Genomic DNA, 12,677 nt, shown 5'->3' on the forward strand with positions numbered 1-12,677 from the left:
GTTGAACTCACAGAGCAGTACTTTCCTTGGGATGGAGTAGTTTCGAAACACACTTTCTGTAGAATCTGCAAGTGGATATTTGGACCTGTCTGAGGAATTCGTTGCAAACGGGATAATTTCAGCTAAGTAAACAGAAGCAGTCTCAGAATCTTCTTGTGATGTTTGCATTCAAATCCCAGAATTGAACCTTCCTTTGAAAGTTCAGGTTGGAAACACTCTTTTTGCAGGATCTACAAGTGGATATTCGGACCACTCTGTGGACTTCGTTCGAAACGGGTATATCTTCACAAAACATCTAGACAGAAGCATTCTCAGAAACTTTTCTGTGATGACTGCATTCAACTCACAGAGTTGAACACTCCTTTTGAGAGCGCAGTTTTGAAACTCTCTTTCTCTGGAATCTGCAAGGGGACATGCAGACCTCTTTGAAGGTTTCGTTGGAAACGGAATCATCTTCACATAAAAATTACACAGAAGCATTCTCAGGAACTCCTTGGTGATGTTTGTATTCAACTTCCAGAGTTGAACTTTCCTTCGGAAAGAGCAGCTATGAAACACTCTTTTTCTAGAATCTGCAAGTGGACATTGGGAGGGCTGTGAGGTTTGTGGTGGAAAAGGAAATATCTCCACGTAAATACTAGATAGAAGCCTTCTCAGAAACTACTTTCAGATGATTGCATTCACCTCACGGAGTGGAGCATTCCTATTGACAGAGCAGTTTGGAAACACTCTTGTTGTAGAATCTGCTAGTGGAGATTTGGAGCGCTTTGAGGCCTATGGTAGTAAAGGGAAGAGCTTCACATAAAATCAAGACAGAAGCATTCTCAGAAAATACTTTGTGATGATTGAGTTTAACACACAGAGCTGAACATTACTTTAGATGGAGCAGGTTTGAAACACACTTTCTCTAGAATCTGCGAGTGGATATTTGGACCTCTCTGAGGATTTCGTTGGAAACGGGATAACTGCACCTAACTAAACGGAAGCATTCTCACAAAATTCTTCGTGATGTTTGCATTCAAATCCCAGAGTTGAACCTTCCTTTGATAGTTCAGCTTTGAAACACTCTTTTTGTAGGATCTGCAAGTGGATATTTGGACCACTCTTTGGCCTTCCTTCGAAACGGGTACATCTTCATATAAAATCTAGACAGAAGCCTTCTCAGAAACTTCTCTGTGATGATTGCATTCAACTCAAGGCGTTGAACCCTCCTATGGATAGGGCAGTTTTGAATCTCTCTTTTTGTGGAATCTGCAAGTGGATATGTGGTCCTCTTTGAAGATGTCTTTGGAAACGGGAATATCTTCACATAAAAACTAAACAGAAGCATTCTCAGAAACTTCTCTGTGATGTTTGTGTCCAAATCACAGAGTTTCACGTTGCTTTTCATAGAGCAGATGAGAAACATGCTTTTCGTAGGGTCTGCAAGTGGACATTTGGAGAGATTTCAAGCCTGTGGTGGAAAACGAATTATCGTCACGTAAAAACTAGAGGGAAGCATTGTCAGAAACTTGTTTGTGATACCTGCATTCAACTCACAGAGTTGAAGGTTCCTTTTCAAACAGCAGTTTCCAAACACTCTTTCTGTGGCATCTGCAAGTGGATGTTTGGGCCTCTTTGAAGATTTCGTTGGAAACGGGATAATCTTCACAGAAAAGCTAAACAGAAGCATTCTCAGAAACTTCTTTGTGATGTTTGCTTTCAACTCACAGAGTTGAACTTTCCTTTTGAGAGAGAAGCTTTGAAACACTCTTTTTCTAGAATCTGCAAGTGGATATTTGGAGGGCTTTGAGGCCTGTGGTGGAAAACGAATTATCTTCCCGTAAGAACTAGATAGATGCATTCTCAGAAACTACTTTGTGACGATTGCATTCAAGTCACAGAGGTGAACATTCCCTTTCACAGAGCACTTTGGAAACTCTCGTTGTGTAGAATCTGCAAGTGGAGATATGGACCGCTTTGAGGCCTATGGTAGTAAAGGAAACAGCTTCATATAAAAACTAGACAGCAGCATTCTCAGAAAACTCTTTCTGACGACTGAGTGTAACTCACAGGGTTGAACATTCCTTTGGATGGAGCAGTTTGGAAACACACTATCTGTAGGATCTGCAAGCGGATACTTGGGCCTCTCTGAGGATTTCGTTGGAAACGGGATAAACCGCACAGAACTAAACAGAAGCATTCTCAGAACCTTCTTCGTGACGTTTGCATTCAACCCACAGTGTTGAAACTTTCTTTGATAGTTCAGGTTTGAAACACTCTTTTCGTAGAAACTGCAAGTGGATAACTGCACTTCTTTGAGGCCTATCGTAGTAAAGGAAATAACTTCCTATAAAAACAAGACAGAAGCTTTCTCAGAAAATTCTCTGGGATGATTGAGTTGAACTCACAGAGCAGTACTTTCCTTGGGATGGAGTAGTTTCGAAACACACTTTCTGTAGAATCTGCAAGTGGATATTTGGACCTGTCTGAGGAATTCGTTGCAAACGGGATAATTTCAGCTAAGTAAACAGAAGCAGTCTCAGAATCTTCTTGTGATGTTTGCATTCAAATCCCAGAATTGAACCTTCCTTTGAAAGTTCAGGTTTGAAACACACTTTTTGCAGGATCCACAAGTGGATATTCGGACCACTCTGTGGACTTCGATCGAAACGGGTATATCTTCACATAACATCTACACAGAAGCATTCTCAGAAACTTTTCTGTGATGACTGCATTCAACTCACAGAGTTGAACACTCCTTTTGAGAGCGCAGTTTTGAAACTCTCTTTCTCTGGAATCTGCAAGGGGACATGCACACCTCTTTGAAGGTTTCGTTGGAAACGGAATCATCTTCACATAAAAATTACACAGAAGCATTCTTAGGAACTCCTTGGTGATGTTTGTATTCAACTTCCAGAGTTGAACTTTCCTTCGGAAAGAGCAGCTATGAAACACTCTTTTTCTAGAATCTGCAAGTGGACATTGGGAGGGCTGTGAGGTTTGTGGTGGAAAAGGAAATATCTCCACGTAAATACTAGATAGAAGCCTTCTCAGAAACTACTCTGTGATGATTGCATTCACCTCACGGAGTGGAGCATTCCTATTGACAGAGCAGTTTGGAAACACTCTTGTTGTAGAATCTGCTAGTGGAGATTTGGAGCGCTTTGAGGCCTATGGTAGTAAAGGGAAGAGCTTCACATAAAATCTTGACAGAAGCATTCTCAGAAAATACTTTGTGATGATTGAGTTTAACACACAGAGCTGAACATTCCTTTGGATGGAGAAGGTTTGAAACACACTTTCTATAGAATCTGCGAGTGGATATTTGGACCTCTCTGAGGATTTCGTTGGAAACGGGATAACTGCACCTAACTAAACGGAAGCATTCTCACAAAATTCTTTGTGATGTTTGCATTCAAATCCCAGAGTTGAACCTTCCTTTGATAGTTCAGCTTTGAAACACTCTTTTTGTAGGATCTGCAGGTGGATATTTGGACCACTCTTTGGCCTTCGTTCGAAACGGGTACATCTTCAAATAAAATCTAGACAGAAGCCTTCTCAGAAACTTCTCTGTGACGATTGCATTCAACTCAAAGCGTTGAACCCTCCTATGGATAGAGCAGTTTTGAATCTCTCTTTTTGTGGAATCTGCAAGTGGATATGTGGTCCTCTTTGAAGATGTCTTTGGAAACGGGAATATCTTCACATAAAAACTAAACAGAAGCATTCTCAGAAACTTCTCTGTGATGTTTGTGTTCAACTCACAGAGTTTCACGTTGCTTTTCATAGAGCAGATGAGAAACATGCTTTTCGTAGGGTCTGCAAGTGGACATTTGGAGAGCTTTCAGGCCTGTGGTGGAAAACGAATTATCGTCACGTAAAAACTAGAGAGAAGCATTGTCAGAAACTTGTTTGTGATGACTGCATTCAACTCACAGAGTTGAAGGTTCCTTTTCAAACAGCAGTTTCCAAACACTCTTTCTGTGGCATCTGCAAGTGGATGTTTGGGTCTCTTTGAAGATTTCGTTGGAAACGGGATAATCTTCACAGAAAAGCTAAACAGAAGCATTCTCAGAAACTTCTTTGTGATGTTTGCTTTCAACTCACAGAGTTGAACTTTCCTTTTGAGAGAGAAGCTTTGAAACACTCTTTTTCTAGAATCTGCAAGTGGATATTTGGAGGGCTTTGAGGCCTGAGGTGGAAAAGGAATTATCTTCCCGTAAGAACTAGATAGATGCATTCTCAGAAACTACTTTGTGACGAATGCATTCAAGTCACAGAGGTGAACATTCCCTTTCAGAGAGCACTTTGGAAACTCTCGTTGTGTAGAATCTGCAAGTGGAGATATGCACCGCTTTGAGGCCTACGGTAGTAAAGGAAACAGCTTCATATAAAAACTAGACAGCAGCATTCTCAGAAAACTCTTTGTGACGACTGAGTTTAACTCACAGGGCTGAACATTCCTTTGGATGGAGCAGTTTGGAAACACACTATCTGTAGGATCTGCAAGCGGATACTTGGGCCTCCCTGAGGATTTCGTTGGAAACGGGATAAACCGCACAGAACTAAACAGAAGCATTCTCAGAACCTTCTTCGTGACGTTTGCATTCAACCCACAGTGTTGAACCTTTCTTTGATAGTTCAGGTTTGAAACACTCTTTTTGTAGAAACTGCAAGTGGATAACTGCACTTCTTTGAGGCCTATCGTAGTAAAGGAAATAACTTCCTATAAAAACAAGACAGAAGCTTTCTCAGAAAATTCTCTGGGATGATTGAGTTGAACTCACAGAGCAGTACTTTCCTTGGGATGGAGTAGTTTCGAAACACACTTTCTGTAGAATCTGCAAGTGGATATTTGGACCTGTCTGAGGAATTCGTTGCAAACGGGATAATTTCAGCTAAGTAAACAGAAGCAGTCTCAGAATCTTCTTGTGATGTTTGCATTCAAATCCCAGAATTGAACCTTCCTTTGAAAGTTCAGGTTGGAAACACTCTTTTTGCAGGATCTACAAGTGGATATTCGGACCACTCTGTGGACTTCATTCGAAACGGGTATATCTTCACATAACATCTAGACAGAAGCATTCTCAGAAACTTTTCTGTGATGACTGCATTCAACTCACAGAGTTGAACACTCCTTTTGAGAGCGCAGTTTTGAAACTCTCTTTCTCTGGAATCTGCAAGGGGACATGCAGACCTCTTTGAAGGTTTCGTTGGAAACGGAATCATCTTCACATAAAAATTACACAGAAGCATTCTCAGGAACTCCTTGGTGATGTTTGTATTCAACTTCCAGAGTTGAACTTTCCTTCGGAAAGAGCAGCTATGAAACACTCTTTTTCTAGAATCTGCAAGTGGACATTGGGAGAGCTGTGAGGTTTGTGGTGTAAAAGGAAATATCTCCACATAAATACTAGATAGAAGCCTTCTCAGAAACTACTTTGTGATGATTGCATTCACCTCACGGAGTGGAGCATTCCTATTGACAGAGCAGTTTGGAAACACTCTTGTTGTAGAATCGGCTAGTGGAGATTTGGAGCGCTTTGAGGCCTATGGTAGTAAAGGGAAGAGCTTCACATAAAATCTAGACAGAAGCATTCTCAGAAAATACTTTGTGATGATTGAGTTTAACACACAGAGCTGAACATTCCTTTGGATGGAGAAGGTTTGAAACACACTTTCTGTAGAATCTGCGAGTGGATATTTGGACCTCTCTGAGGATTTCGTTGGAAACGGGATAACTGCACCTAACTAAACGGAAGCATTCTCACAAAATTCTTTGTGATGTTTGCATTCAAATCCCAGAGTTGAACCTTCCTTTGATAGTTCAGCTTTGAAACACTCTTTTTGTAGGATCTGCAGGTGGATATTTGGACCACTCTTTGGCCTTCGTTCGAAACGGGTACATCTTCAAATAAAATCTAGACAGAAGCCTTCTCAGAAACTTCTCTGTGACGATTGCATTCAACTCAAAGAGTTGAACCCTCCTATGGATAGAGCAGTTTTGAATCTCTCTTTTTGTGGAATCTGCAAGTGGATATGTGGTCCTCTTTGAAGATGTCTTTGGAAACGGGAATATCTTCACATAAAAACTAAACAGAAGCATTCTCAGAAACTTCTCTGTGATGTTTGTGTTCAACTCACAGAGTTTCACGTTGCTTTTCATAGAGCAGATGAGAAACATGCTTTTCGTAGGGTCTGCAAGTGGACATTTGGAGAGCTTTCAGGCCTGTGGTGGAAAACGAATTATCGTCACGTAAAAACTAGAGAGAAGCATTGTCAGAAACTTGTTTGTGATGACTGCATTCAACTCACAGAGTTGAAGGTTCCTTTTCAAACAGCAGTTTCCAAACACTCTTTCTGTGGCATCTGCAAGTGGATGTTTGGGCCTCTTTGAAGATTTCGTTGGAAACGGGATAATCTTCACAGAAAAGCTAAACAGAAGCATTCTCAGAAACTTCTTTGTGATGTTTGCTTTCAACTCACAGAGTTGAACTTTCCTTTTGAGAGAGAAGCTTTGAAACACTCTTTTTCTAGAATATGCAAGTGGATATTTGGAGGGCTTTGAGGCCTGAGGTGGAAAAGGAATTATCTTCCCGTAAGAACTAGATAGATGCATTCTCAGAAACTACTTTGTGACGATTGCATTCAAGTCACAGAGGTGAACATTCCCTTTCACAGAGCACTTTGGAAACTCTCGTTGTGTAGAATCTGCAAGTGGAGATATGGACCGCTTTGAGGCCTATGGTAGTAAAGGAAACAGCTTCATATAAAAACTAGACAGCAGCATTCTCAGAAAACTCTTAGTGACAACTGAGTTTAACTCACAGGGCTGAACATTCCTTTGGATGGAGCAGTTTGGAAATACACTATCTGTAGGATCTGCAAGCGGATACTTGGGCCTCTCTGAGGATTTCGTTGGAAACGGGATAAACCGCACAGAACTAAACAGAAGCATTCTCAGAACCTTCTTCGTGATGTTTGCATTCAACCCACAGTGTTGAACCTTTCTTTGATAGTTCAGGTTTGAAACACTCTTTTTGTAGAAACTGCAAGTGGATAACTGCACTTCTTTGAGGCCTATCGTAGTAAAGGAAATAACTTCCTATAAAAACAAGACAGAAGCTTTCTCAGAAAATTCTCTGGGATGATTGAGTTGAACACACAGAGCAGTACTTTCCTTGGAATGGAGTAGTTTCGAAACACACTTTCTGTAGAATCTGCAAGTGGATATTTGGACCTGTCTGAGGAATTCGTTGCAAACGGGATAATTTCAGCTAAGTAAACAGAAGCAGTCTCAGAATCTTCTTGTGATGTTTGCATTCAAATCCCAGAATTGAACCTTCCTTTGAAAGTTCAGGTTGGAAACACTCTTTTTGCAGGATCTACAAGTGGATATTCGGACCACTCTGTGGACTTCGTTCGAAACGGGTAAATCTTCACATAACATCTAGACAGAAGCATTCTCAGAAACTTTTCTGTGATGACTGCATTCAACTCACAGAGTTGAACTCTCCTTTTGAGAGCGCAGTTTTGAAATTCTCTTTCTCTGGAATCTGCAAGGGGACATGCAGACCTCTTTGAAGGTTTCGTTGGAAACGGAATCATCTTCACATAAAAATTACACAGAGGCATCCTCAGGAACTCCTTGGTGAAGTTTGTATTCAACTTCCAGAGTTGAACTTTCCTTCGGAAAGAGCAGCTATGAAACACTCTCTTTCTAGAATCTGCAAGTGGACATTGGGAGGGCTGTGAGGTTTGTGGTGGAAAAGGAAATATCTCCACATAAATACTAGATAGAAGCCTTCTCAGAAACTACGTTGTGATGATTGCATTCACCTCACGGAGTGGAGCATTCCTATTGACAGAGCAGTTTGGAAACACTCTTGTTGTAGAATCTGCTAGTGGAGATTTGGAGCGCTTTGAGGCCTATGGTAGTAAAGGGAAGAGCTTCACATAAAATCTAGACAGAAGCATTCTCAGAAAATACTTTGTGATGATTGAGTTTAACACACAGACCTGAACATTCCTTTGGATGGAGAAGGTTTGAAACACACTTTCTGTAGAATCTGCGAGTGGATATTTGGACCTCTCTGAGGATTTCGTTGGAAACGGGATAACTGCACCTAACTAAACGGAAGCATTCTCACAAAATTCTTTGTGATGTTTGCATTCAAATCCCAGAGTTGAACCTTCCTTTGATAGTTCAGCTTTGAAACACTCTTTTTGTAGGATCTGCAGGTGGATATTTGGACCACTCTTTGGCCTTCGTTCGAAACGGGTACATCTTCAAATAAAATCTAGACAGAAGCCTTCTCAGAAACTTCTCTGTGACGATTGCATTCAACTCAAAGCGTTGAACCCTCCTATGGATAGAGCAGTTTTGAATCTCTCTTTTTGTGGAATCTGCAAGTGGATATGTGGTCCTCTTTGAAGATGTCTTTGGAAACGGGAATATCTTCACATAAAAACTAAACAGAAGCATTCTCAGAAACTTCTCTGTGATGTTTGTGTTCAACTCCCAGAGTTTCATGTTGCTTTTCATAGAGCAGATGAGAAACATGCTTTTCGTAGGGTCTGCAAGTGGACATTTGGAGAGATTTCCGGCCTGTGGTGGAAAACGAATTATCGTCACGTAAAAACTAGAGAGAAGCATTGTCAGAAACTTGTTTGTGATGACTGCATTCAACTCACAGAGTTGAAGGTTCCTTTTCAAACAGCAGTTTCCAAACACTCTTTCTGTGGCATCTGCAAGTGGATGTTTGGGCCTCTTTGAAGATTTCGTTGGAAACGGGATAATCTTCACAGAAAAGCTAAACAGAAGCATTCTCAGAAACTTCTTTGTGATGTTTGCTTTCAACTCACAGAGTTGAACTTTCCTTTTGAGAGAGAAGCTTTGAAACACTCTTTTTCTAGAATCTGCAAGTGGATATTTGGAGGGCTTTGAGGCCTGAGGTGGAAAAGGAATTATCTTCCCGTAAGAACTAGATAGATGCATTCTCAGAAACTACTTTGTGACGATTGCATTCAAGTCACAGAGGTGAACATTCCCTTTCAGAGAGCACTTTGGAAACTCTCGTTGTGTAGAATCTGCAAGTGGAGATATGGACCGCTTTGAGGCCTATGGTAGTAAAGGAAACGGCTTCATATAAAAACTAGACAGCAGCATTCTCAGAAAACTCTTTGTGACGACTGAGTTTAACTCACAGGGCTGAACATTCCTTTGGATGGAGCAGTTTGGAAACACACTATCTGTAGGATCTGCAAGCGGATACTTGGGCCTCCCTGAGGATTTCGTTGGAAATGGGATAAACCGCACAGAACTAAACAGAAGCATTCTCAGAACCTTCTTCGTGACGTTTGCATTCAACGCACAGTGTTGAACCTTTCTTTGATAGTTCAGATTTGAAACACTCTTTTTGTAGAAACTGCAAGTGGATAACTGCACTTCTTTGAGGCCTATCGTAGTAAAGGAAATAACTTCCTATAAAAACAAGACAGAAGCTTTCTCAGAAAATTCTCTGGGATGATTGAGTTGAACTCACAGAGCAGTACTTTCCTTGGGATGGAGTAGTTTCGAAACACACTTTCTGTAGAATCTGCAAGTGGATATTTGGACCTGTCTGAGGAATTCGTTGCAAACGGGATAATTTCAGCTAAGTAAACAGAAGCAGTCTCAGAATCTTCTTGTGATGTTTGCATTCAAATCCCAGAATGGAACCTTCCTTTGAAAGTTCAGGTTGGAAACACTCTTTTTGCAGGATCTACAAGTGTATATTCGGACCACTCTGTGGACTTCGTTCGAAACGGGTATATCTTCACATAACATCTAGACAGAAGCATTCTCAGAAACTTTTCTGTGATGACTGCATTCAACTCACAGAGTTGAACACTCCTTTTGAGAGCGCAGTTTTGAAACTCTCTTTCTCTGGAATCTGCAAGGGGACATGCAGACCTCTTTGAAGGTTTCGTTGGAAACGGAATCATCTTCACATAAAAATTACACGGAAGCATCCTCAGGAACTCCTTGGTGATGTTTGCATTCAACTTCCAGAGTTGAACTTTCCTTCGGAAAGAGCAGCTATGAAACACTCTTTTTCTAGAATCTGCAAGTGGACATTGGGAGGGCTGTGAGGTTTGTGGTGGAAAAGGAAATATCTCCACATAAATACTAGATAGAAGCCTTCTCAGAAACTACTTTGTGATGACTGCATTCACCTCACGGAGTGGAGCATTCCTATTGACAGAGCAGTTTGGAAACACTCTTCTTGTAGAATCGGCTAGTGGAGAGTTGGAGCGCTTTGAGGCCTATGGTAGTAAAGGGAAGAGCTTCACATAAAATCTAGACAGAAGCATTCTCAGAAAATACTTTGTGATGATTGATTTTAACACACAGAGCTGAACATTCCTTTGGATGGAGAAGGTTTGAAACACACTTTCTGTAGAATCTGCGAGTGGATATTTGGACCTCTCTGAGGATTTCGTTGGAAACGGGATAACTGCACCTAACTAAACGGAAGCATTCTCACAAAATTCTTTGTGATGTTTGCATTCAAATCCCAGAGTTGAACCTTCCTTTGATAGTTCAGCTTTGAAACACTCTTTTTGTAGGTTCTGCAGGTGGATATTTGGACCACTCTTTGGCCTTCGTTCGAAACGGGTACATCTTCAAATAAAATCTAGACAGAAGCCTTCTCAGAAACTTCTCTGTGACGATTGCATTCAACTCAGAGAGTTGAACCCTCCTATGGATGGAGCAGTTTTGAATCTCTCTTTTTGTGGAATCTGCAAGTGGATATGTGGTCCTCTTTGAAGATGTCTTTGGAAACGGGAATATCTTCACATAAAAACTAAACAGAAGCATTCTCAGAAACTTCTCTGTGATGTTTGTGTTCAACTCACAGAGTTTCACGTTGCTTTTCATAGAGCAGATGAGAAACATGCTTTTCGTAGGGTCTGCAAGTGGACATTTGGAGAGCTTTCAGGCCTGTGGTGGAAAACGAATTATCGTCACGTAAAAACTAGAGAGAAGCATTGTCAGAAACTTGTTTGTGATGACTGCATTCAACTCACAGAGTTGAAGGTTCCTTTTCAAACAGCAGTTTCCAAACACTCTTCCTGTGGCATCTGCAAGTGGATGTTTGGGCCTCTTTGAAGATTTCGTTGGAAACGGGATAATCTTCACAGAAAAGCTAAACAGAAGCATTCTCAGAAACTTCTTTGTGATGTTTGCTTTCAACTCACAGAGTTGAACTTTCCTTTTGAGAGAGAAGCTTTGAAACACTCTTTTTCTAGAATCTGCAAGTGGATATTTGGAGGGCTTTGAGGCCTGAGGTGGAAAAGGAATTATCTTCCCGTAAGAACTAGATAGATGCATTCTCAGAAACTACTTTGTGACGATTGCATTCAAGTCACAGAGGTGAACATTCCCTTTCACAGAGCACTTTGGAAACTCTCGTTGTGTAGAATCTGCAAGTGGAGATATGGACCGCTTTGAGGCCTATGGTAGTAAAGGAAACAGCTTCATATAAAAACTAGACAGCAGCATTCTCAGAAAACTCTTTGTGACGACTGAGTTTAACTCACAGGGCTGAACATTCCTTTGGATGGAGCAGTTTGGAAACACACTATCTGTAGGATCTGCAAGCGGATACTTGGGCCTCCCTGAGGATTTCGTTGGAAACGGAATAAACCGCACAGAACTAAACAGAAGCATTCTCAGAACCTTCTTCGTGATGTTTGCATTCAACCCACAGTGTTGAACCTTTCTTTGATAGTTCAGGTTTGAAACACTCTTTTTGTAGAAACTGCAGGTGGATAACTGCACTTCTTTGAGGCCTATCGTAGTAAAGGAAATAACTTCCTATAAAAACAAGACAGAAGCTTTCTCAGAAAATTCTCTGGGATGATTGAGTTGAACTCACAGAGCAGTACTTTCCTTGGGATGGAGTAGTTTCGAAACACACTTTCTGTAGAATCTGCAAGTGGATATTTGGACCTGTCTGAGGAATTCGTTGCAAACGGGATAATTTCAGCTAAGTAAACAGAAGCAGTCTCAGAATCTTCTTGTGATGTTTGCATTCAAATCCCAGAATTGAACCTTCCTTTGAAAGTTCAGGTTGGAAACACTCTTTTTGCAGGATCTACAAGTGGATATTCGGACCACACTGTGGACTTCGTTCGAAACGGGTATATCTTCACATAACATCTAGACAGAAGCATTCTCAGAAACTTTTCTGTGATGACTGCATTCAACTCACAGAGTTGAACACTCCTTTTGAGAGCGCAGTTTTGAAACTCTCTTTCTCTGGAATCTGCAAGGGGACATGCAGACTTCTTTGAAGGTTTCGTTGGAAACGGAATCATCTTCACATAAAAATTACACAGAGGCATCCTCAGGAACTCCTTGGTGATGTTTGTATTCAACTTCCAGAGTTGAACTTTCCTTCGGAAAGAGCAGCTATGAAACACTCTTTTTCTAGAATCTGCAAGTGGACATTGGGAGGGCTGTGAGGTTTGTGGTGGAAAAGGAAATATCTCCACATAAATACTAGATAGAAGCCTTCTCAGAAACTACTTTGTGATGATTGCATTCACCTCACGGAGTGGAGCATCCCTATTGACAGAGCAGTTTGGAAACACTCTTGTTGTAGAATCGGCTAGTGGAGATTTGGAGCGCTTTGAGGCCTATGGTA

The 12,677-nt window shown here is 41.1% G+C and overlaps 1 annotated feature.

Annotated features, from left to right (window-relative positions):
- Window positions 1–12,677: part of a centromere (Linear centromere model derived predominantly from reads generated in PMID: 17803354. This region does not represent an actual centromere sequence, as long-range ordering of repeats and unmapped WGS contigs is not provided by the model. For details of model production, see http://arxiv.org/abs/1307.0035.) that runs on past both edges of the window.

The sequence above is a fragment of the Homo sapiens genome, chromosome 17, assembly GCF_000001405.40.
Source record: "Homo sapiens chromosome 17, GRCh38.p14 Primary Assembly".
NCBI classification, from domain to species: domain Eukaryota; kingdom Metazoa; phylum Chordata; class Mammalia; order Primates; family Hominidae; genus Homo; species Homo sapiens.